At 44.6% G+C, this 25,889-nt stretch overlaps 1 protein-coding gene and 1 non-coding gene across 14 annotated transcripts in view; both read right to left on the bottom strand.

The window, feature by feature from the left end:
• The window catches only part of GMEB1 (glucocorticoid modulatory element binding protein 1), a 51,125-nt gene that overhangs the window by 11,299 nt on the left and 13,937 nt on the right, over positions 1–25,889 (bottom strand). For 5 of the 13 annotated variants that reach the window (XM_047438136.1, NM_006582.4, XM_047438187.1 and 2 more), the window contains 7 exons: positions 24,315–24,472; positions 17,869–17,981; positions 16,346–16,470; positions 15,010–15,113; positions 10,971–11,128; positions 5,486–5,617; positions 3,726–3,863 (listed from right to left, as the gene is read on the bottom strand). In XM_047438136.1, coding sequence (XP_047294092.1) covers positions 3,726–3,863; positions 5,486–5,617; positions 10,971–11,128; positions 15,010–15,113; positions 16,346–16,470; positions 17,869–17,981; positions 24,315–24,442 — 898 coding nt within the window. In that variant the 5' untranslated portion in view covers positions 24,443–24,472. Of the gene's footprint in view, positions 1–3,725; positions 3,864–5,485; positions 5,618–10,963; positions 11,129–15,009; positions 15,114–16,345; positions 16,471–17,868; positions 17,982–24,314; positions 24,473–25,889 lie in introns of those variants that run through there. The other 8 variants (XM_047438283.1, NM_001319674.2, XM_011540521.4 and 5 more) reach the window with 4 other exon arrangements.
• Positions 18,261–18,390, bottom strand: LOC124904809 (small Cajal body-specific RNA 24). The gene has a single exon (XR_007067396.1).

Here is a 25,889-nt window from a genome sequence, read left to right as displayed (position 1 = left end):
TGGTGGTATGTGCCTGTAGTCCCAGCTACTTGGGAGACTGAGGCAGGAGGATCAATTGAGCCCAGGTGGTTGAGGCTGCAGTGAGCTGTGACTGCATCACTGCACTCTAGCCTGGATGACAGAGCAAGACCCTGTCTCCAAAAAAAAAAAAAAATTGTCAGTATTTGTGTTAATTGCTTCCTTAACCTGGACAACCTCACCTACATTCCCTTCCACAGTCACCTCACTTGGTCCCATGGTTTGAAATAACACACACATGCTGAGCACTCCCACATGTACATCTCCAGCCCTGACCTCTTTCCTGTATTCCACATTCATACTTCTATCTAGATGAGTGACATCTCTATTTGATGGTCTAATAGTCATCTCAATTTAAGAGGTAAAACTAATTTTTATTTCCTCTCTAAAACTGTTCCTCTCCCAGTGGCCTTCATCTCAGTAAATGGCATCACCACTCACAGCTCAGGCCAAAAATGTGTGAATCATCCCGGTATCTTTCTTTCTCTTTCATCCTGCCTCCAATCCATCAGCAAGACTTAGTAGTTCGACATTCAAAATACATTCTCAATCTAATCACTTCTTCCTAACTTTACCGCTACCCACTCTAATCCATGATACATTATCTCTTGCTTGGACTAATTCCTTTAAGAGCTTCCCAACTGGTCTTGTTTCTACTCTTTCCCCATAAGAGTCTACTCTCCACACAGCAACCAGAACAATCTCTTAAAAATACAAATTTTTAAGAGATTTAAAATTTTAAATCTCTTAAAATTTTACAGGCACAGTGGCTCGCGCCTGTAATCCCAGCACTTTGGGAGGCCGAGGCGGGCAGATCATGAAGTCAGGAGATCTAGACCACGCTGGCTAACACGGTGAAACCCCGTCTCTACAAAAAATATAAAAAATTAGCTGGCCGTGGTGGTGGGCACCTGTAGTCCCAGCTACTCGGGAGGCTGTGACAGGAGAATGCCGTGAACCTGGCAGGTGGAGCTTGCAGTGAGCCAAGATCGCATCACTGCACTCCAGCCTGGGAGACAGCAAGACTCCATCTCAAAAAAAAAAAAAAAAAAAAAAAAACCAAATCTGGAGGACAGGCATGGTGGCTCACGCCTGTAATCCCAGCACTTTTGGAGGCCAAAACAGGTGGATTACCGGAGGTCAGGAATTCAGGACGAGCCTGGCCAACATGGTGAAACCCCATCTCTACTAAAAATACAAAAAACCTAGCCAGGCATGGTGGTATTTGCCTGTAATTCCAGCTAGTCAGGAGGCTGAGACAGGAGAATCACTTGAACTTGGGAGGTGGAGGTTGCAGTGAGCCAAGATCACGCCACTGCACTCCAGCCTGGGCAACAGAGTGAGACTCCGTCTCTAAATAAATAAATAAATAAATAAGAATTCACTGAATACACAAGGTCTCATCTCATCATAATCCCATTTTTTTTTTTTTTGAGACGGACTCTCGCTCTGTCACCCAGGCTGGAGCGCAATGGTGTGATCTCCACTCACTGCCACCTCCACCTGCCGGGTTCAAGCGATTCTCCCACCTCAGCCTCCTGAGTAGCTGGGATTACAGGCACCCGCCATCATGCCTCGCGGATTTTTGTATTTTTGTAGAGACAGGGTTTCACCATGCTGGCCAGGCTGGTCTTGACTTCCTGATCTCAGGTGATCCACCTGCCTTAGCCTCCCAAAGTGCTGGGATTACAGGCGTGAGCCACAACGCCTGGCCCATAACCCCATTTCTATTAGATTAGAACGTCATTTTACATTCTGCACAGCAGCACCCTGAAAGTATTCAGAAACAGCTATAAGTGAACACAACAAGTTCAGAAAGCCTTAAATTAATAGGATATGAGAATAATCTTTATTTATTTATTTATTTATTTATTTATTTTTGAGATGGAGTCTCTCGCTCTTCCGCTTGGGCCAGACTGCAGTGGCGCTATCTCGGCTCACTGCATGTTCTGCCTCCCGGGTTCATGCCATTCTCCTGCCTCAGCCTCTCAAGTAGCTGAGACTACAGGCGTCCGCCACCGCGCCCGGCTAATTTTCTGTATTTTTAGTAGAGACGGGGTTTCACCGTGTTAACCAGGATGGTCTCGATCTCCTGACCTCGTGATCCGCCTGCCTTGGCCTCCCAAAGTGCTGGGATTACAGGCGTGAGCCACCGCGCCCGGCCGAATATGAGAATAATCTAAAAACAAGTGGATTTCTCCAATTTTCAGACTCTTTCTCTATACATACACATAGTGGACATACCACATAATGAATGTATACAGAGAGTCTGAAAATAGATGTATCGGCTGGGCGCGGTGGCTCATGCCTATAATCCCAGCACTTTGGGAGGCCGAGGCGGGCGGATCACCCAAGGTCAGGAGTTTGAGACCAGCCTGGCCAACATGGTGAAACCTCATCTCTACTAAAAATACAAAAAATTAGCTGGGTGTGGTGGCATGCGCCTGTAATCCCAGCTACTCAGGAGTCTAAGGCAGGAGAATCGCTTGAACTCAGGAGGTGGAGGTTGCAGTTAGCTGAGATCACGCCACTGCACTCCAGCCTGGGTGACTGAGTGAAACTCCGTCTCAGGAAAAAAAAAAAAAAAAAAAGAAAATACATATATCGCGCGAGAGAGGATGCTTTCTGTCAGTTTTTTTTTTAGATGGAGTCTTGTTCTCTATCACCCAGACTGGTGGGCAGTGGCATAACCTTGGCTCACTGCAAACCTCCACCTCTTGGGTTCAGCAATTCTCGTGCCACAACCTCTCAAGTAGCTGGGATTACAGATGTGCACCATACCCAGCTAATTTTTTTTTTTTCATATTTTTAGTGGAGACAGGTTTTCACCATGTTGGCCAGGCTGGTCTCGAACTCCTGACCTCAAGTAATCCGCCGGTCTCGGCCTCCTAATGTACTGGGATTACAGGCGTGAGCTACCGCACCTGGCCTGTGTTTTTTTTTTTTTTTTTTTTGAGACAAGGTCTTGCTCTGTCACCCAGGCTGGAGTAGAGTCCTATGATCATAGCTCACTGCAGCATCAAACTGCTGGGCTCAAGTGATTCTCCTATGCCTCAGCTTCCCAAGTAGCTGGGACTACAGGCACCCACTACCAACCATACCTGACTAATGTTTAGAAAGTTTTTTGTAGGCTGGGAGCGGTGGCTCATGCCTGTAATCCCAGCACTTTGGGAGGCCGAGGCGGGGGGATCACCTGAGGTCAGGAGTTCATGACCAGCCTGGCCAACATGGCAAAACCCTGTCTCTACTAAAAATACAAAAATTAGCCGGATGTGGTGGTGGGCGCCTGTAATCCCAGCTACTCAGGAGGCTGAGGCAGAGAGAATTGCTTAAAACCCAGGAGGCGGAGGTTGCAGTGAGCTGAGATTGCGCTACTACACTCCAGTCTAGGCGATAGAGCGAGACTCCGTCTCAAAAAAAAAAAAAAATTTTTTTTGTGGAGACAAAGCATCTCACTATGTTGCCCAGACTACTGGCACCATTTATAAAGACAAAAATTACCTGTGGAAAAGCATGGCCAGATCTGAGTTCAAAACCTAGTTATGAACCTTAGACAAGTGACTTAACTTATATGAGCCTTAGTTTCCTTATCTGTAAAATTAAGATAATAATACCTATACATCAGGGTTTTTGCAAGGCTTACAGGACCTGCCTACGGAGGTGAGTATTCAATAAATCACTGCTACTGTTAGGATTAGTGCACTTACCTGTGACTTGGAAGGGAGCCTGGATGAGCCGCTGCTGAACTCCCCTGAGTAGCTCCTCTATTTCCTTCTGTATATTGCAGACAACCTCTTCCATCAGCCCTACATCAGCTATTCCTTTCCAGAACATCAAAGTGTCCTCTGGCACAAGAAGGATAAGACAGAGGGTAAAAAAGAGACACTACCTAGATACTTAGGCAAATCTCTACAACGTTAAATTCAAAATTATTTTAACTCAAAATGATTTCTTATTGGGCCATTCCTGAAAAAAGGGAATAAGCTTTGGAATACTAGATGCTTCCCTGAGTGGGCACCCAATTATGTCGCCCCTTCAGCAGCATAGGTGCTTGGGATGATTGCCTCAATTTGTCATTCTCTCAATTTGTCATAGTTCTCACTACAAAGAATAGTCATTTTCCTCCAATAAAAATATTAAACATTAAACATATTTAACATTACATATTATTTAATTTTAATTTAATTTAAAAACGAGATATTTAATATCATAAAAGTTAAATAGTAAAGAAATGAAATATTAATTAAGATATACTCTCTCTAGTCCTATACTTAAGAAAACAAAACAAAACAGTTGGATAGATGGGGCTATAAGCTCTCTGAGGGTGGTGGCTATGTCTTTTCTTTTTTTATTTTTTTATTTTTATTTTTTTTCTGAGAACAGAGTTTCGTTCTTGTTGCCCAGGCTGGAGTGCAATGGCGTGATATCAGCTCACTGCAACCTCCACCTCCCAGGTTCAAGTGCTTCTCCTGTCTCAGCCTCCGAGTAGCTGGGATTACAGGCATGCACTAGCACACCAGGCTAATTTTGTATTTTTAGTAGAGACGGGGTTTCTCCATGTTGGTCAGGCTGGCCTCGAACTCCCGACCTCAGGTGATCCATCCACCTTGGCCTCCCAAAGTGCTAGGATTACAGGCATGAGCCACCGCACCTGGTCTGTCTTTTCATCTACGCACCCAGCATCTAACAACAGTGCCAACTAAAAATAGGCAATAATAAATACCTATTAAATGAATAAATAATTGGAGGGTGATGTGAAGCCTCTCCTGGTCCCCTCTAAGTGAATCATCATTAATCACCATGCTCTACAACACTTGCCACCTATTTTTTCCTTCTAATATCTCAAAACTTAGTCTATCTAAGAAATGTGCCAAAGTTGGAGGCAGTCTGATCAGAAGAAAAGCATAGACTACATAGTCAAACAGCTAAATTCAGCTCTGACACTTGTTTGTGACTGGTCTTAGGCAAGTTGCTGAACCTTTCTAAATTCTGATTTCTTGTTTTTTGTTTTTTGTTTTTTGAGATGGAGTCTTGCTTAGTCGCCCAGGCTGGAGTGCAGTGGCGCGATCTCGGCTCACTGCAAGCTCCCGAGTAGCTGGGACTACAGGCGCCTGCTACCACGCCCGGCTAATTTTTTTTTTGTATTTTTAGTAGAGACGGGGTTTCACTGTGTTAGCCAGGATGGTCTCGATCTCCTGACCTTGTGATCCACCTGCCTTGGCCTCCCAAAGTGCTGGAATTACAGACGTCAGCCACTGCGCCCGGCCAATTCTGATTTCTTTGTATGTAAAATGTGACTATGCAGGGCTATTGCATGGATTAAAGTAGGATGTTTGTAGCTATAGTTAGTATTTACGTGCATGAGAAAATCCAGCGAAAGTAATTAAGAGGTCTTCCGTGTCCATAATGATAATGGTGATAAGGCTCACAAGACCCTGCAAGACATCTGAGCCCTATAGAAGAATACCTGAAATTTCCTCTGAGTCTTTCTTTACACCCTCCTCCGTGGCCATGGTGACAGCAGCGGTGAGAGCTGAGTTCCATTCCAGCCCTGCCTCTTCCATGCTCTCTTCTGAGATGGCAATCTGCGTGATGCTACCTAAAAACAGTCCAGTAGAGGTGAGAACAGTGAATTTAACGAAAAAGTTATAGCTATCCTATATCTCATACTCAATAGCTACAAAGACCTTGTTATTTTAACATTCTAGCCTCTTGGCTGCAGGTCCCTATTTTAAAAACTAGACTCTTAGGTAAGCTAGGATGAATATTGGATTTTCTAAAGAAAACCTGCCTTGCAAAGGAAAATGCTTTCTTACTTTGAATAGAAAGTGAAAGATAACTTACAAAATCACAAAAGAGCAATGTGTTTCCTAGGTAGGTATGTTTTTGAAAGAGATTGAAGATAGACATTACTACTAGCCTGCCAGCCCCTACTAGCCTGCCAGCCCCAGACTTACTGAGGGTGAAGAAAGCTTGAAATAATTTAAGAGAAAGGTATAGTGCTTTCCCAAGAGCTCTACTACAAGCAAGTCTGATGCTAAGCATCTAACTTATTTATTAGCCTATAAAGAGAAAGTAAAAGAAATGGAGACCATAAAAATCAGATAAGAGATTCATGTATAGCAGATTCACAGAGGGGAAAAATACCCTTTGCTATTACTTGTATAGTAAGATTTTGACTGGGCGTGGTAGCTCATGCCTGTAATCCTAGCACTTTGGGAGGCTAAGGTGGGCAGATTGCTTGAGTCCAGGAGTCTGAGGCCAGCCTGGGCAACATAGCAAAACCCAGTTTCTATAAAAACTAGCTGGGTGTGGTGGTGCACATCTGTAGTTACAGCTACTCAGGAGGCTGAGGTGGGAGAATCACCTGAGCCCAGGGGCTTAAGACTGCAGTAAACCATGGTTGTGCCACTGTACTCCAGCCTGGGTGACAGACTAAGACCCTGTCTCAAAAAACAAGAAAGCTTTTGGCCAGGCGCAGTGGCTCACGCCTGTAATCCCAGCACTTTGGGAGGCCGAGGTGGGCGGATCACGAGATCAGGAGATCGAGACCATCCTGGTTAACACGGTGAAACCCCGTCTCTATAAAAATACAAAAAATTAGCCGGGTGTGCTGGCGGGTGCCTGTAGTCCCAGCTACTCAGGAGGCTGAGGCAGGAGAGTGGCGTGAACCCGGGAGGCGGAGCTTGCAGTGAGCCGAGATCGCGCCACTGGACTCCATCCAGCCTGGGAGACAGAGCGAAATCATCTCAAAAAAAAAAAAAAAAAGACAGCTTTTAAACAAAGAGAATCAAGAAAAACCAAACTGATCCAAACAGCAATATAGGAAAGTACGGACTCTACACACTGGAGGATATCAATCATCGGGCAAAAGATAATCAAGTAAAAGACTTTTAGCCAAATAAAAAGGAAGTACAGTTGTCCCTCAGTATACATGAGGGATTGATTCCTGGACCACCTGCATATATAACCAAATCTGTACATGCTCAAGTCCTAAAGTCAGCCCCGTGGAACCCATATATACAAAAAGTAAAACTCAACACTTCATAGACCCGGGTTTTGCATCCTGCAAATACCATATTTTCCATCCATGTTTGGTTGGGAAAAAAAAAGCTGCATAAAAGTGGACCCCCACCAATCAAACCCATATTGTTCAAGGGCCAACTGTAAATAGCATTTCACAGTATTTTTCACTTTTCAAGTGAAAGAGTCAAGTGTCCAAATATTCAAACCGCCAGATATTTTATACTTTCCTGAAAGGGATTTAGGTTTCAAGGATTCTGGCCTCTATTCACCCACTGGATACACACAGAATATTAGAACTGACCAAAAGATCTTTTTTTTTTTTTTTTGAGACAGAGTCTCACTTTGTTGCCCAGGCTGAAGTACAGTGGCATGATCTCGGCTCACGGCAGTCTCCGCGTCCCAGGTTCAAGCAATTCTCCTGCCTCATCCTTCTGAGTAGCTGGGATTACAGGCATGCACCACCATGCACAGCTAATTTTTTTTTTTTTTTTTTTTTTGAGATGGAGTCTTGCTCTGTCGCCCAGGCTGGAATGCAGTGGCGCGATCTCGGCTAACTGCAAGCTCCACCTCCCGAGTTCACGCCATTCTCCTGCCTCAGCCTCCGGAGTAGCTGGGACTACAGGCGCTCACCACCACGCCCAGCTAATTTTTTTTGTATTTTTAGTAGAGACAGGGTTTCACTATGCTAGCCAGGATGGTCTCCATCTCCTGACCTTGTGATCTGCCAGCCTCGGCCTCCCAAAGTGCTGGGATTACAGGTGTGAGCCACCGCGCCCAGCCATGCCCAGCTAATTTTTATATTTTTAGTAGAGATGGGGTTTCACCACGTTGGTCAGGCTGGTCTCAAACTCCTGACCTCATGATCCGCCTGCCTCAGCCTCCCAAAGTGCTGCGATTATAGGCGTGGGCCGCTGCACCCGGCCAAGATCTTTTTTTTTTTTTTTTTTTTTTTGAGACAGGGTCTCTCGCTCCTGTCACCTAGGTTGGAGTGCAGAGGCACAATCACAGCTCACTGATACGTGATCTTCCCACCTCAGTCTCCTTAGTAGCTGGGACCACAGGCCCACACCGCCATGCTCAGCTAATTTTTTTATTTTTTGTAGAGATGGGTTTTCGACAAGATGCCAAGGCTGGTCTCAAACTCCTGGGCTCAAGAAATCCTCCTGCCTCAGCTTCCCAGAGTGCTGGGATTAGAGGTGTGACCCACCATGCCCAGCCATTAAGAGGTCATTTTTTCAGCACCGTAAGACAAGGCAAAAAAGAAAAAAAAAAACAAAAAAGGGCCAGGCATGGTGGCTCACATTTGTAACTCTAGCACTTTGGGAGGCTGAGGTGGGTGGATCACCTCAAGTCAGGAGTTTGAGACCAGCCTAGCCAACATGGTGAAACTCCGTCTCTACTAAAAATACAAAAAATTAGCTAGGCTTGGTGGCGGGCACCTGTAATCTCACTACACGGGAGGCTGAGGCAGGAGAATTGCTTGAACCCGGGAGGGGGAGGTTGCAGTGAGCCAAGATTGCACCATTGCACTCCAGCCCGGGTGACAAAGCAAGATTCTGTCTTAAAAAAAAAAAGAGGTCAATTTACAAGCACAGTGTATGTCCCTAACCTTTTAGATCCTTTAGCATTCTTGTGACTTTTCTCAGGCATATTTGTAAGTCTTGTAACAGTAGTTGAGATACATTTTATCCAACTATATAGTAAGTCTCCAGCTGGACTAACTAAATCCTTAATAATAATCTTACAGTTACATCTTTCCTGGATGGTAAGGAGCCCTAGTACCAAACTCAACAATACTGAAGTTAAGTGTGCTCATCTGTTTCATCTGTGGGAAGCCTCAACTTGGTAATCAGGAGCCCCTCCAAGCAGACAACTCCAATCATTACAGTGGGGTATCCAGAGTCCTGTCCAGCCAATCACATTGTCTTTGATACACCTCAGTATAATGGGTGAAAACCACTCATCATTCTAATCTACCTCTTGTGTTGACCACTAGTAAAGCAAGCATTTTTCTTTTTTCCTTTTTTTTTGAGACAGAGTCTTGCTCTGTTACCCAGGCTGGAATATGGGACGATCTCGGCTCACTGCAAACTCCACCTCCTGGGTTCAAGCAATTCTCCTGCCTCAGCCTCCCAAGTAGATGGGATTACAGGCATGCGCCACCACACCCGGCTAATTTTTGTATTTTTAGTAGAGACAGGGTTTCACCATGTTGGCCAGCCTGGTCTTGAACTCCTGACCTCAGGTGATCCTCCCGCCTCAGCCTCCCAAAGTGCTAGGATTACAGGCGTGAGCCAAAGCACAGCTGCAAAGCATTTTTCTTTTTTTTTTTTTTTGAGATGGAGTCTCGCTTTGTCGCCCAGGCTGGAGTGCAGTGGCGCCATCTTGCCTCACTGCAAGCTCCGCCTCCTGGGTTCACACCATTCTCCTGCTTCAGCCTCCCGAGTAGCTGGGACTACAGGCACCCGCCACCATACCTGGCTAATTTTTTGTATTTTTAGTAGAGACAGGGTTCCACCGTGTTAACCAGGATAGTCTCGATCTCCTGACCTTGAGATCTGCCCGCTTTGGCCTCCCAAAGTGCTGGGATTACAGGCGTGAGCCACCATGCCCAGGCTTCTTTTTTTTTTTTTTAAGACGGAGTCTTGCTCTATTGCCAGGTTAGAGTGCAGTGGAATGATCTTGGCTCACTGCAGCCTCTGCCTCCCATGCCTCCCAGGTTCAAGCAATTCTCCCGCCTCAGCCTCCCAAGTAGCTGGGACTACAGGTGCACGCCACCATGTCTGGCTAATTTTTGTATTTTTAGTAGAGACAGGGTTTCACCATGTTGGCCAGGATGGTCTCGATCTCTTGACCTCATTTTTCTTTTTTGAGACGGAGTCTCACTCTGTTGCCCAGGATGGAGTGCAGTGGTGCCATCTCGGCTTACTGCAAGCTCCGCCTCCCGAGTTCACGCCATTCTCCTGTCTCAGCCTCCCCAGCAGCTGGGACTGCAGGTGCACGCCACCACACCTGGCTAATTTTTTTGTATTTTTAGTAGAGACGGGGTTTCACTGTGTTAGCCAGGATGGTCTCAATCTCCTGACCTCGTGATCCGCCTGCCTCAGCCTCCCAAAGTGCTGGGATTACAGGCGTGAGCCACCGCACCTGGCCGATCTCTTGACTTCATGATCTGCCTCCCTCAGCCTCCCAAAGTGCTGGGATTACAGGCGTCAGCCACCACGCCTAGCCTGCAGAGCATTTTTCAAAACAGCCTAATTCAACCTTAATATGCCAAGTGGCACCAAAGTGAAACTGTTATGTAAGTATTGTAACTACTGAACTACCTTTCTAATGCCTACAATGCATTGTAAGGAAAAAACAAAGGAGGAGGTCTGACCAATAGGAATCATTGGGAAGAAAACAAAGCATGTTTCCAAAGCATGGAATCCCATCCAAGATTACCATACTTTACAACAAGGCACATCAATGTTCATGAGAATTGAAATTAAGAATATGCAAGGGGACAGGCATGGTGGCTCATGCCTGTAATCCCAGCACTTCGGGAGGCCGAGGTGGGCGGATCACCTGAGGTTGGGAGTTCAAGACCAGCATGATCAACATGGAGAAACCCTGTTTGTACTAAAAATACAAAATTAGCCAGGTGTGGTGGCGCATGCCTGTAATCCCAGCTACTCAGGAGGCTGAGGCAGGAGAATCGCTTGAACCCAGGAGGCAGAGGTTGCAGTGAGCTGAGATCACGCTACTGCACTCCAACCTGGGCAACAAGAGCAAAACTCTGTCTCAAAAAAAATTAAAATAAAAAAATACATATATATATATATATATATATATATATATATATATATGTACACACAAGGGAGAAATAAGGGGGAAAGTTCTGCTGAAAAACACAATGGGTTTTCAGGTGGTTTCCTACCCCCTACCATCAGCCGAAGTGGGTGTCTGCACCACACTTGTCTGCTGTCCTGGCACTGGAGCTCTTGCACTGCTGATCAGAAGATCAAATTTGGTGCTTCTGCAGGTATTGGAGCAAACTTTGTCATGTTGGTAAAAATCAATCTGTCCGGAGTCCATCATTTTCCTGTGCAAAGGGAGACAAGAAGTACCAGTTCAGCCTATACTTCATCTAGTGGGAACTAGGCCTCAGGGAAAAATAGGGACAACACTGCTGAGCCTACTGTGTAGATTAGTGAAACCTAATAGTGTTAGAAGTCATTAGGTTGCAAAAATTCTAATTGGGGCTTTAAATTTTCACTGGTCCTGCCCACATTTACCAGTATTCCTCCTCCCTCTGTAGTTTATTCATTATGAGTATTGCAGCAAGATCTGGTGCCACTTTCACAGACATAAAGTTTCAGTCTTTTAAAAAACTCTCCTAGGAATACAGAAAAAAGTTCACTATACTAAACCCACTCTGGAAAATGTCCTTATAATTGGATCCACAAAACGTTATAGGACATGAGCAAAACCATGGGGTATTTTAATTATAGTAAATTCTATGTTATAATGTCATTTGGCTTTCACTAAAGATTTTTTAGTATCCTGACTCTTTTACATTTGGGGAAAATTGGCATATGCTTGTCCTTCTGGGTAAATAAAACCCGCCAAGAACAACAAAACTCAAAGTTAAAGGTATTCCTCAGCCAGGTGCAGTGATTCACGCCTGTAATCCCAGCACTTTGGCAGGCCAAGGCAGGAGGATCACTTGAACTCAGGAGTTTGAGACCAGCGTGTCCAACATGGTGAAACCACATTTCTATAAAAAATACAAAAATCAGCCAGGCATGGTAGCTGAGGCCTGTAGTCCCAGCTAATTGGGAGGATGAGGCTGAAGAATCACTTGAGCCAGGAAGCTGAGGTTGCAGTAAGCTGAGATCACGCCACTGCACTCCAGCCTGGGTGACAGAGTTAGACCCTGTCTCAAAAATAAATAAATAAATAAATAAATAAATAAATAAACAAACAATAAAAATAAAGATATTCCTTCCCAATTTCATTGGATTACTAATTTCTGCATACAAATCATCTGAAAATTTTTTTTTTTTTTTTTTTTTTTTTTTTTTTTTTTTGAGACGGAGTCTCGCTCTGTCGCCCAGGCTGGAGTGCAGTGGCGGGATCTCGGCTCACTGCAAGCTCCGCCTCCCGGGTTCACGCCATTCTCCTGCCTCAGCCTCCCAAGTAGCTGGGACTACAGGCGCCCGCCACTACGCCCGGCTAATTTTTTGTATTTTTTAGTAGAGACGGGGTTTCACCGTTTTAGCCGGGATGGTCTCGATCTCCTGACCTCGTGATCCGCCCGCCTCGGCCTCCCAAAGTGCTGGGATTACAGGCGTGAGCCACCGCGCCCGGCCGAAAAAATTTTTTTAAAATAATGTTTTGTTGGAAGTACAGGAGTAAAATAATTTAAAAATTTTTTAAATAAAAACAAAAAGAACACAAATAATGTTTCTGTGTCTCTGACTAAAAAAATGATGTGGGCCGGGAATGGTGGCTCACACTTGTAATCTCAGCACTTTGGGAGGCCAAGGCGGGTGGATCACCTAAGCTTGGGAGTTTGAGACCAGCCTGACCAACATGGAGAAACCCCATCTTTCCTAAAAATACAAAATAAGCCAGGCATGGTGACGCATGCCTATAATCCCAGCTATTTGGGAGGCTGAGGCAGGAGAATTGCTTGAATCTAGGAGGTACAGTTTGCAGTGAGCCGAGATCACGCCATTACACTCTAGCCTTGGCAACAAAAGTGGGGTGTGGTGGCTCACGCCTGTAATCCCAGCACTTTGGGAGGTGAGGTGGGCAGAGCATTTGAGGTCAGGAGTTCAATACCAGCCTGGCCAACATGGTGAAACCCTGTCTCTACTAAAAATACAAGAAAATTAAGTGGGTGTGGTGGCGCGCACCTGTAATCTCAGCTAATCAGGAGGCTGAGGCATGAGAATCACTTGAACCCAGGAGGTGGAGATTGCAGTGAGCCAAGATCATGCCACTGCACTTCAGCCTGGGCAACAGAGCAAAACTCTGTCTCAAAAAAAAAAAAAAAAAAAAAGGCTGGCCACGGTGGCTCACGCCTGTAATCCCCACACTTTGGGAGGCTGAGGTGGGCAGATCAAGAGGTCAGGAGTTCGAGACCAGCCTGACCAATATGGTGAAACCCTGTCTCTACTAAAAATACAAAAATTAGCCAGTCGAGGTGGCGTGCTCCTGTAATCCCAGCTACACAGGAAGCTGAGGCAGGAGAATCACTTGAACCTGGGAGGCGGAAGTTGCAGTGAGCTGAGATCGTGCCACTGCAGCCTGGGCGACACAGCAAGATCCCAACTCAAAAAAAAAAAACCTATGTTAAGAAAATATTTAGCATTTTCAGCTGGCCACACTGGCTCACACCTGTAGTCCAACCTACTTTGGAGGGCTGCTTGAGCTGAGGAGATTGAGGCTGATCATGCCAATGCACTCCAGCCTTAGTGACAGAACATGGGCTTTTTTTTTTTTCAATTGCTCTTTTTAAAAAATCTTAGGCCAGGCATGGTGGCTCATGCCTATAATCTCAGCACTTTGGGAGGCCAAGGCGGGTGGATCAGGAGGTCAGAAGATCGAGACCAGCCTGGCTAACATGATGAAACCCCGTCTCTATTAAAAAAAAAATACAAAAATTAGCTGGGTATGGTGGCACGCGCCTGTAGTCCCAGCTACTGGGGAGGCTGAGACAGGAGAATCACTTGAACCCGGGAGGCAGAGGTTGCAGTGAGCCGAGACTGCGCCACTGCACTCCAGCCTGGCAACAGAGCAAGACTCCGTCTCAAAAAAAAAAAAAAAAAAATCCTACAACACACAGACCATGTCAACATTTTAGCATATTTTCTTCTACTAAATTTTACTTACATATGTATGTCTTAACACAGCCAAAATCAGTTTAATGAATTTTATATTTTTCTTCCTTCAAATTGTCATAAGCATTTTTCCATGTAAAATCTCTTCAGAAATATTTTAATGACTGCAAAATATTCCATAGTATATACTCATATAAATTTACACAAGCCATAATTGACTTTAGAAGTCTTTTGACTATATATTAAAGCAGACTATAATTTTTACATTAATAAATAATGTAATAAACATCTTTATGCTTGAATCTCTACAAGCATTATGGATTTTTCTTGAAAGAGATTCCTTAAAAATAATTATTTTTATTTTTTAATTTTTTATTTCTTTTTAAAAATGTTATCCTTTTTTTGTTTTCCCTGTTAAAAAGAATTAAATGGCCGGGCACAGTGGCTCACGCCTGTAATCCTAGCACTTTGGGAAGCGGAGGTGGGTGGATCACGAGGTCAGGAGTTCAAGACCAGCCTGGCCGAGATGGTGAAACCCCGTCTCTACTAAAAACTACAATTGCTTGAACCCGGGAGGCCGAGGTTGCAGTGAGCCGAGGTCGCGCCACTGCACTCCAGCCTGGGTGACAGGGCAAGACTCTGTCTCAAAAACAAACAAACAAGAGGCTGGGCGTGGTGGTTCATGCCTGTAAACCCAGCATTTTGAGAGGCCGAGATGGGTGGATCATGAGGTCACGAGTTTAAGATCAGCCTGACCAACATGGTGAAACCCCGTCTCTACTGAAAATACAAAAAATTAGCTGGGCGTGGTGGTGGGCACCTGTAATCCCAGCTACTCGGGAGGCTGAGGCAGAGAACTGCTTGAACCCGGGAGGCGGAGGTTGCAGTGAGCCAAGATCATGCCACTGCACTCCAGCCTGAGCGACAGAGTGAGACTCCATCTCAGAAAAAAAAAAAAAAATCAATCTCGTCTCCCAGGATTTTTAAGTTGATTAAAGTCAAATAATGCACGGATTGCTCAAGCCAATTCTTCAGAAAGAATAAAAATGTCAACCTAAAGAGAAAAGCCCAGATTCTAGCATGATTATGTGCCCCAAAGTTTGTTGAAAGGTATGTGCTTGACATTAGAGCTTACCTGAGCATGATCCCACCCAGACGAATAGCTCTCTTCCAGTCCTTCAGAGTGGACTTGCCAGCCAGATGAACAAAGTGCTTGGGGCTGATCAACTGATCATTGAACTAAAAGTAAAAAGAAAAGTCCAAAGAGTCTAATGTCAACTTAGGCAGGCCAAGAGGGGAAATAATGAAATGATAACTCTACATCATTTGTATAAAAAATACCCAGATGACATCCTAAGCCTTGTATTATCCAACCTCCTGTACTATTGTGTTAGAGAAGACGATCCTTCTCTGAGCATAGTCTCAATTCCTGGTACAAAGCCACAGAATACATGCAGAGATCAGAGATAAATATATTAATAAATATCTAAAATCCATTTATGCCTGGAATCAGGTCTAGTGTGGCAAACAAAGGCTGTTCAAATAAACTGAAATAATCTATCCAGCCCTAATGAAGACAGAATAAGCAATTCTATTTTTATCAATCATGTATTTTTTTGGCTAGTCAATCTAATAATTTTTTTTTTTTTTGAGACAGAGTCTCACTCTGTCACCTAGACTGGAGTGCAACAGCGCAATCTCAACTCACTGCAACCTCTGCCCCCGGGTTCAAGTGATTCTCCTGCCTTAGCCTCCGGAGTAGCTGGAATTATAGGCGCCCAATACCACGTCCAGCTAATTTTTGTATTTTTAGTAGAGATGGGGTTTCACTATGTTGTCCAGGCTGGTCTCTACCTCCTGACCTCAGGTGATCCACTCACCTCAGCCTCCCAAAGTGCTGGGATTACAGGCATGAGCCACCTCACCCAGCCAATAGTTTTTTTTGAAGATGCAAGGTTTTCCAGCCTAGGCAACATAGCAAAACCCCCCATCTCTACAAAAAATTAGCCAGGCACAGTGGTGCACACCTGTGGTCCCAGCTACAGAGGAGGCTGAGGTAGGAGAATCACCTGAACCCAGGAAGTGGAGGCTACAGTGAGCCAAGATCATGTCACTGCACTCTAGCCTGGGCAACAGAAAGTCACTGTCTGAAAAAAAAAAAAAAGAAAGCCAAGGTCTCACCATTTTGCCCAGGCTGGTCTTGAACTCCTGGGCTCAAGTGATCTTCCCACCTCAGTCTCCCAAAGTGCTAGGATTACAGGCATGAGCCACCACACCCAACCCAAAGTTCTTATTTTTTCTATTGTGACACATTAGGACAATAGCCACAAAATAAATAAATAAATAAATAAATAAATAAATAAATAAATAAATAAAACTGATATAGTGGAAGATAAAAAGGATGCATGGAACTCACACCCTTTGAGAACAAGGAGTCCCAAATTTGGCTTCAGCATGGAAAAGACAATTACCTTGACACACTTCACGTTTATTCCTGGACATACAAACTTCTTCCAGAGGAGGATGGCTTTGCTCTCCCCACAAGTTATGGGGTAAGCAATTTCCATATCCTCATTTGCTTCTATAGTGCCTGTATCTGAAAACAGAAAAAATATCAGTTATTTATCAAACAACTCTTCCCCAAAGCTGAAATTCAAAATCTCTAGTCTCCTGGTTCCTCTAAGGGACTAATACTTCACTCTTGCTGGTATCATTTAGGAATCCTCTGGAAGAAGTTTGGCCTAAGAGCTATCTCTTCCCAAGCTCTCACAGTGTGCCAGACACCATACTATGTATTTTACACACATAATCTTGTTTAGTTCTTACAACAAACCTGTGAGGCAATGATTGTTTCCTAGGTGTTTTTTTCTTTTTTTCTTTTTTGAGATGGAGTCTCACTCTGTCACCCAGGCTGGAGTGCAGTGGCGTGATCTCAGCTCATTGCAACCTCTGCCTCCTGGGTTCAAGCAATTCTCCTGCCTCAGCCTTCCAAGTAGCTGGGATTATAACCATATACCACACACCACCACGCCCGGCTAATTTTTGTATTTTTAGTAGAGATAGGGTTTCACCATCTTGGCCAGGCTGGTCTTGAACCCCTGACCTCAACTGATCCACCTGTCTTGGCCTCCCAAAGTGCTGGGATTACAGGCATGAGTCACCTCGCCTGGTGTAGGTGGTTTTATTTATTTATTTTTTTTAGGATGATGTCTCGCTCTTGTTGCCCAGGCTGGAATGCAGTGGTGTGACCTCGGCTCACTGCAACCTCCACCTCCCGGGTTCAAGGGATCTCCTGCCTCAGTCTCCTGAGTAACTGGGATTACAGGCGCGCACCACTACACCCAGCTAATTTTTATACTTTTAGTAGAGGCGGGGTTTCGCCATGTTGGCCAGGCTGGTCTCAAACTCCTGACCTCAGGTGATCCGCCTGCCTCAGCCTCCCAAAGTGTTGGGATTACAGGCGTGAGCCACTGCGCTCGACCAGATGTTTTTTAAATTAATTAATTAATTGTTTCCTAGGTGTTAAATGTAAGTATATGGGCTTCAGAAAGGCTAACTGACTTTCCCAAGGACACATTTAGAGATGAGAAATTGGGATTTAAACTAAGGTTTGTTAAATTTCGGTTTCTTTCCAGTTTCTTTCCACTGACTGCCTTCTAGACAATACCTCATCAGTCATCATCAACAACTTATTTAATGACAGGGATCAACTTTGAGGCTCCAATTTCTATATGGGATTTTTATCGACAAAAAGTCTTTTCAGTTACCCTTCCAAATTGACATTAACCAACCAACTGACGACCCTAGCATCTTAGTCAGTGGTGTCTCAAGATGTACCACCATCAAAATCGAGGGCTGTAGTACTGGTAGGGCACACAGGGATGGGAGAAAAACATAAGGCACAGATGGCAAGAAAACTCAACCAAGGAAGCTAAAGTCAAAGGTATTAGAATGACAAAAAAAAAAAAAAAAAAAAACACAAAAAAACCCTTACCAATCCCTTCTTCAATTTTGTGTATCGTGTGAGTTTCTACTGCTACAACTGCCGTGTTGTTCTCCGACCCAGCTTCATAAATCCTGTTGTAAAAGTGTCCATCGATAAACAAACTACATAAATCATGAAAAAATTAATATTCACAGCATGGGGTTAAGAAATTTGTTTCAAACTATCTCAAAAGAAATAAAATAAATATACTTTATAACTCTGACTAGTTTCCCATTGTATTTAAACTCCAAACCTCCCAGGATTGCTTAGCAGCTTCTACCATGAAAATGAATCCACAACTCTCCTCACCTCAAAGGAAAGTAATTTTTGCTACTTATTTATTTATACCACCACTTGCTACTGTATTACACCAGACTTTTCCCTTCATAACTTTATTTTTTAAATCTCAGTAGTGGAACAGTCCATGCTTTTTAGTTGCAAAGGGTGAACAGAAAGCTACAATATTTCTCTAGGACATCTACAAACAGTTACCTTCACCTTGAGAAAAAACTGAATAAAAATAAATGTCCACTCCTTTCATAACTTTTTATTTATTTATTTTTTTGAGACATAGAGTCTCGCTCTGTCACCCAGGCTGAAGTGCAGTGGTGCGATCTCGGCTCACTGCAAGCTCCGCCTCCCAGGCTCACGCCATTCTCCTGCCTCAGCCTCCCGAGTAGCTGGGACTACAGGAGCCCGCCACCACGCCCCACTAAATTTTTTTTGTATTTTCAGTAGAGATGGGGTTTCACTGTGTTAGCTAGGATGGTCTCAATCTCCTGACCTCGTGATCCGCCTGCCTCGGCCTCCCAAAGTGCTGGTATTACAGGCATGAGCCACCGCACCCAGCTCCTTTCATAACTTTAAATGGGCCGGGCATGGTGGCTCACACCTGTAATTCCAGTACTTTGGGAGGTTGAGGTGGACAGATCACCTGAGGTCAGGAGTTCGAGACCAGCCTGGCCAACGTGGTGAAACCCCACCTCTACTAAAAATACAAAAAAATTAGGCTGTGTGCGGTGGCTCACGCCTGTAATCCCAGCACTTTGGAAGGACAAAGCGGGCGGATCACGAGGTGTGGAGTTCGACACCAGCCTAACCAACATGGTGAAACCCCGTCTCTACTAAAAATACAAAAATTAGTCAGGCATGGTGGCGCGCCTGTAATCCCAGCTACTCAGGAGGCTGAGGCAGGAGAATCACTTGAACCCGGGAGGCGGAGGTTGCAGTGAGCTGAAATCGCACCACTGTACTCCAGCCTGGGCGATGGAGCAAGACTCTGTCTCAAAAAAGAAAAAAAAAACTTTAAATGCCCATGGCATAGTATTGCTACAAGTACACAACTAATTCATATTATGGAATTACCCTGAAAAGACTAAAAAGTAGTACCAGCAGATAGTTTGAGATAGGAAGAACCACGCTGACTAAAAAGCTGATGTCCCTTGCTGGAAACGGTGTATTTTGCTGGGGGTGGTGGGTGGTGGGGGGGTGTTTGTTTGTTTTTAGCATTTTAGCATCTTTTAAGGTACCATAACCAAACTATTGACACGAGCAAAGCCTAGTGGAAGAAAAGTAAGAGAGAAACTACATCCAAAGTAACTAGGAGTGACTAGAGGCACCACTTAGAGAAGGTTATATAATGCAGATCTCTCCAAGATATCTCTACATTTATGGGCTCAGATAATGTAACTTGATATATCAACAATCAACATCCTTTATTTAATTTCTGTAATAAAGCTGATGTGCTAATTATTGCATCTTGTTACTTGAAAGCACTGCCTGAATATTCTCCTTTGTATCAATGACTACCTCCACAGTGATACCTCTAGCACAGACCTCCCTTCTGAATTTCACATTCAAACACAGCCAACTGCTAAATGAATAAATACATTTGTATGTGTGTTTGTTTCTTGAGACGGAGTTTCGCTCTTATTGCCCAGGCTGGAGTGCAATGGCGCGATCTTGGCTCACTGCAACCTCTGCCTCCCGGGTTCAAGCGATTCTCCTGCCTCAGCCTCCCGAGTAGCTGGGATTACAGGCATGCGCCACCACGCTGGCTAATTTTGTATTTTTAGTAGAGATGGGGTTTCTCCATGTTGGTCAGGCTGGTCTCAAACTCCCGACCTCAGGTGATCTGCCCACCTCCGCCTCCCAAAGTGCTGGGATTACAGGCGTGAGCCACCGTGCCCAGCCAAATAAATACATTTGGAAGTCCCACAGGACTTTGTCGAATTCGTTATGTCTAAAATAACCATCAAGTTCCCTTTTCCCACCCACCCTCAAACTATTCTTCTTCCTATACTCTCCATCCTTGTTAATAGCACCACTCAGCACACTGTAGACAGAAATCTAGGAATCATACTAGATTTGTTTCATTTCCTCCTTCACAACTCCACATAGTCAGTCACCAAATCCTGCTAGATGCATCACTTTAACACTATCCATCCTCCCTCCCTGTCTCTATCTCCACTGCTACTGCCTTAATTCAGGCCTCATCATCTCTAGACTAGTATCCTTGCATCTAACTAATCTTCTACATTCCCACCAGATTAATCATGTGATTTCCTCCTTAAAATCCCTCAAACACCCTCTCTCCTCATTGTTAAAATAAAGCTCCAAATCCTTTGTATGATATTTAAGCTTCTTTAAGATCTGGCCCCTGGTTTCAATTCTTCCCAAACCTCACCTTAAAATCCAGGCCCCGGCACTGCCAAACTATTTGTGGTTCCCAAAAGTGCCATCTTTCTTATACCTTCTTTCTCTTATTTCTGCCACTTCCCAGAACATTATTCTCCACTGTCTTTTTTTGTGTGTGTGTGTGTGTGTGTGTGTGTGTGTGTGTGTGTGTGTGTGTGTGTGTGAGATAGGGTCTCATTCTGTTGCCCAGGCTAGAATGCAGTGGTGAGATCATAGTTCACTACAGCCTTAACCTCCCTGACTCAAGCAATCCTTCACCTCAGCCTCTTGAGTAGCTGGGACTACAGGCATATGCCACCACATCTGGCTAATTTTTCTATTTTTTTATAGAGACAGGGTCTTCCTATGTGGCTCAGGCTGGCCTTGAACTCCTGGACTCAAGTGATCCTCCTGCCTCTGCCTCCCAAAATGCTGGGATTACAAGCATGATCCACTGCACCAATCTCCTATCTGTCTTTTAATAAGTAGCCTCTAGGATGCTTTTCTTTCCTTCCTAATCCCTTCAATATAATCACTTACTTCCTCCTTTGTGACCCAGCTGTACGTTGGGTTTTGTCATAACACCTATCACAATGTATGCTTGTTTATCTGTCTGTCTCCCCTTGAGCACAGGCTAAGAGGTCCCCAAGTGCACAGATTATGGCTTATTCATTTATTCAATTTTGTATGCCCAGCATGTAGTTGACTGACTGGAACATGGCAAAGCACCCAATAAATGGTTATTCAGGGAATGAGGATTGTGATAAACATGAGAAACCACTGCTTCAAATAAGACTGGTAAACTCATCCTAAGTTGACCACTATGTGAAAAATCTCTTAAAAGAATACATTCTCATGTATGAATAATGTCCTTTTTTTTTTTTTTTTTTTGAGACAGAATCTCACTCTGTCACCCAGGCTGAAGTGCAGTAGTGCAATCTCGGCTCACTGCAACCTCCATCTCCCAGACTCAAGCAATTCTCCTCCCTTAGCCTCCCAAGCAGCTGGGATTACAGGCGCGTGCCACCACACCCGGCTAATTTTTGTACTTTTAGTAGAGACGGGGTTTCACCATGTTGGCCAGGCTGGTCTCGAACTCCTGATCTGCCCACCTTAGCCTCCCAAAGTGTAGGGATTACAGGTGTGAGCTACCATACCCGGCCTTTTTTTTGTTTTTTTGACACACGGTCTTACTCTGTTGCTCAGGTTACAGTGCAGTGGCATGATCACAGCTCACTGCAGCCTCAATCTCCTAGGCTCAGGTGATCATCCCAGCTCAGCCTCCTGAGTAGCTGGAACTACAGGTGTGAGCCACCAAGCCTAGCTAATTTTTAAATTTTTTGTAGAGACAGGGTCTCGCCATGTTGCCCTGGCTGGTTTTGAACTCCTGGGCTCATGTGATCCTCCCATCTTGGCCTCCTAAAGTGCTAGGATTACAGGCATGAGCCACTGCACCCAGCCAAGTAATTTCAACAACCAGTAAATTGCACTTAACGGTGGCAAGTAGGAGGTAGTCTATATTTTTACAAGTAAACAAGATTTCTTTTTGTTTGTTTGTTTTGAGACGGAGTCTCTCTCTGTCGCCTAAGCTGGAGTGCAATGGCACAATCTCGGCTCACTGCAACTTCCGCCTCCCGGGTTCAAGTGATTATCCTGCCTCAGCCTCCTGAGTAGCTGGGATTACAGACATGCGCCACCATGCCCAGCTAATTTTTGTATTTTTAGTAGAGACAGGGTTTCACCATGTTGGTCATGCTGGTCTCGAACTCCTGACCTCGTGATCCGCCCACCTCGGCCTCCCAAAGTACTGAGATTACAGGTGTGAGCCACTATGACTGGCCGTAAACAAGATTTTTTATCAGGGAAAAATTATCTAAAGTAACTCAGGATAGTGATGGATTGAGCTTAATTCTCTATATCTACTATGGCCATAGTCAAAAGTCACGAAATATGTTCAAAACGTTAAGGCATCATAAGATATTGACATTCCCTACGAATCATCATTATGTTTACTAGAGCTTAAAAGGTAAGTCTACATTATTGTATTCTTTCTTTTTTGAGACAGAGTCTTGCTCTGTCACCTACTGCTGCAGTGCAGTGGCATGATCTCAGCTAAACCCCATCTCTTCTAAAAATACAAAAATTGGCCAGGCACGGTGGCAAGAGCCTGTAGTGCCAGCTGCTTGGGAGTCTGAGGCAGGAGAATCACTTAAACCTGGGAGGCGGAGGTTGCAGTGAGCTGAGATCCCACCACTACACTCTAGTCTGGGCGATACAGTGAGACTCCATCTCAACGAAAAAAAAAAAAAGAACCCCTTTTTAAATCTTATCTTTTTCCAACACCTTCATAATACATTGTATTGTAGTAGGTGCTAGACTCAGCTTGATAATTTCCCCTCCATGGGGGTTCAGAGAATTTATGGTCGTTGCCTTGCCTGATATCCTCTGACTCTAGCTACACAGTCTTTTGGTAAACACATAAGGAGCCTCTGTAAATAGTGCAGATAAACTGAGCAACAAAGCAAGACCCCTATCTCTACAAAAACTAAAAAAGTCAACATTTGAACTCTGAAGTAAATCATGCCTTCATGGTTATGCTGAAGATTCATAACTGTGTAAGAGTGGGATTAGAACTGGAATTTTTATTTATTTATTTATTTAAAGTTCTAGGATACATGTGCAGAACGTGCAGATTTGTTACATGGGTATATGTGTGCCATGGTGGTTTGCTGCACCTATTGACTCGTCCTCTAGGTTCCCTCTCATCACCCCCTCACCCCCCAACAGGCCCCAGTGTGTGTTGTTCCCCTCCCTGTGTCCATGTGTTCTCATTGTTTAACTCCCATTTATGAGTGAGAACATTCAGTGTTTGGTTTTCTGTTCCTGTGTTGGTTTGGTGAGGATGATGGCTTCCAGCTCCATCCATGTAGGCCTGGAATTTTTTTTTTTTTTTTTTTGAGATGGAGTCTCGCTCTGTCGCCCAGACTGGAGTGCAGTGGCGCGATCTCGGCTCACTACAAGCTCCGCCTCCCGGGTTCACGCCGTTCTCCTGCCTCACCCTCCCAAGTAGCTGGGACTACAGGCGCCTGCTACCACGCCCAGCTAATTTTTTGTATTTTTAGTAGAGACAGGGTTTCACCATGTTAGCCAGGATGGTCTTGATCTCCTGACCTCATGATCCACGCGCCTCGGCCTCCCAAAGTGCTGGGATTACAGGCGTGAGCCACTGCACCCGGCCAGGCCTGGAATTTTTAAATTGAGTATATGATGAAATGATAATGTGCTGGGTATATTGGGTTAAATAAAATATGTTATGAAAATAAAAAAAGAAAAAAGAACAAAAGAAAAATCAGCCAGGTGCAGTGGTATGTGCCTATATTCCCAGCTATTCAGGAGGCTAAAGTGGGAGGATCTTTTGAGCCCAGGAATTCGAGGTTGCAGTGAGCTATGATCGCACCACTGCATTCCAGCCTAGGTGACAGAGTAAGACTCTGTCTCAAGAAAAATAATAATAAAATAAGATGAGGGAGCCATGCAACTTACCCTCAAGGAGCTCAAGGTGGAGAAGAGAAGCAGATACAAGGAAACAAGTAACTGTTGGTAATAAGTATTAAAATGACAAATACAGCACGCAATACAGTATATTATACAGATGAAAACTGAGCCAGCTCTGATTGATGTTAAATGTTCCATTGTGCTAAGCAACCATAAAGTTATAATTTCCCCACCCTTGAAGCTTCCCAAAATACTTCAGAATACCCAAATCTCTAGCCACTTACCCTTGTTGCACAGGCTGTAACTGCAAAATCACTTGGGTTTTAGTGTCTTCAGGATTCTCCCCTTCATTTCCTTCAGTAGGTACCACAACCACATCCCCCACTGGGACACTCACTTCTGCATTAGCCATCTTTCACATGAAGTCAGATAGCTGGGACTGCTGTCGGGAACAAGAAGCACCAATAACTTAATCTGGTTTAAAAAGATGTCAACAGGCCGGGCATGGTGGCTCACGCCTGGAATCCCAGCACTTTGGGAGGCCTAGCTAGGCAGGCGGATCGCCTGAGGTTGGGAGTTCAAGACCAGCCTGACCAACATGGAGAAATCTGTCTCTACTAAAATACAAAATTAACCGGGTACGTGGTGGAGCGTATCTGTAATCCCCTCTACTCAGGAGGCTGAGGAAGGAGAATCGCTTGAAGCCAGGAGGTGGAGGTTGCGGTGAGCCGAGATCATGCCATTGCACCCCAGCCTGGGCAACAAGAGTGAAATTCCGTCTCAAAAAAAAAAAGAAAAGAAGAAAAGAAAAGAAGTCAACCATATGAAAGGACTGCCAAGATAATGCCTAGAGCACCCTAGAGACCATGGGCCTCTAAAAAGGATGGGAACTGTGAGATGGGCTATCACAGGCTCTGATCCTTCCAGAAACGCCTCAACAGTCACTTGCTAGTATAGGTTTTCTTAGTACGTGTGACTCATCCCATGGTGTTCTGCAGCAAGCTCTAACAGCTCCTGAGAACCCATTGTGCACACATATCTCTTCCAACTTCGAGTTTAGTGACACTAAGTTGACAGCTTGAAATCAGCGATGCTGGGCGTAAACAGACCCGAAATTGACAAGCACTACAAATCAGAGTATTTTGTTTTTCCAGAGAGTTGGTTTGTAGCACATTACCAGTTCCACACCAAACAGGAAGCTCTTGGAAATTAGGAATCACATCTACTTTCTGTGCAAACAGCCATTTTGCCTCAAGTTCTCCATCCTTTAAAATACTCAGTATCTGTGGAGGGAGACTGAACTGAGCTGCATGGGAAGGGGAAGATGACTTTTATCATGTAGTTGCTTAATAAATGCTGAATTCACCTGTATGACCTCTAAGACTTTTTTTTTTTTTTTTTTTTTGAGACAGGGTCTCACTCTGTCGCCCAGACGAGTGCTGTGGCATGATCTTGGCTCACTGCAACATCTGCCTCCCAAGCTCAAGCGATTCTCCTGCCTCACCCTCCCCAAGTAGCTTGGATTACAGGTGTGCGCCACTACCACTCAGCTAATTTTTGGATTTTTAGTACAGACGGGATTTCACCGTGTTGGCCAGGCTGGTCTTGAACTCCTAACCTCAAATGATCCACCCGTCTCAGCCTCCCAAAGTGCTGGATTCCAGGTGTGAGCCACCACGCCTGGGACTTCTTAATAACTCTTTGCCTCAGACTGAATGGAGAGATAATCTTGCCCAGTATCTCCCTTGCAGAGTTAGTGAGGAAACCAACGTCCAGCACCATGTGCTCCTTGACTCTAAAGTTACTCCAAGCATTGTCCCAATCTTAATGAAAACTCAGAGGACCCCAAGATATTCTGC

This window comes from Homo sapiens, chromosome 1 (genome assembly GCF_000001405.40).
Source record: "Homo sapiens chromosome 1, GRCh38.p14 Primary Assembly".
Classification (NCBI taxonomy): domain Eukaryota; kingdom Metazoa; phylum Chordata; class Mammalia; order Primates; family Hominidae; genus Homo; species Homo sapiens.
This window is presented reverse-complemented; position numbering and strand designations above follow the sequence as displayed.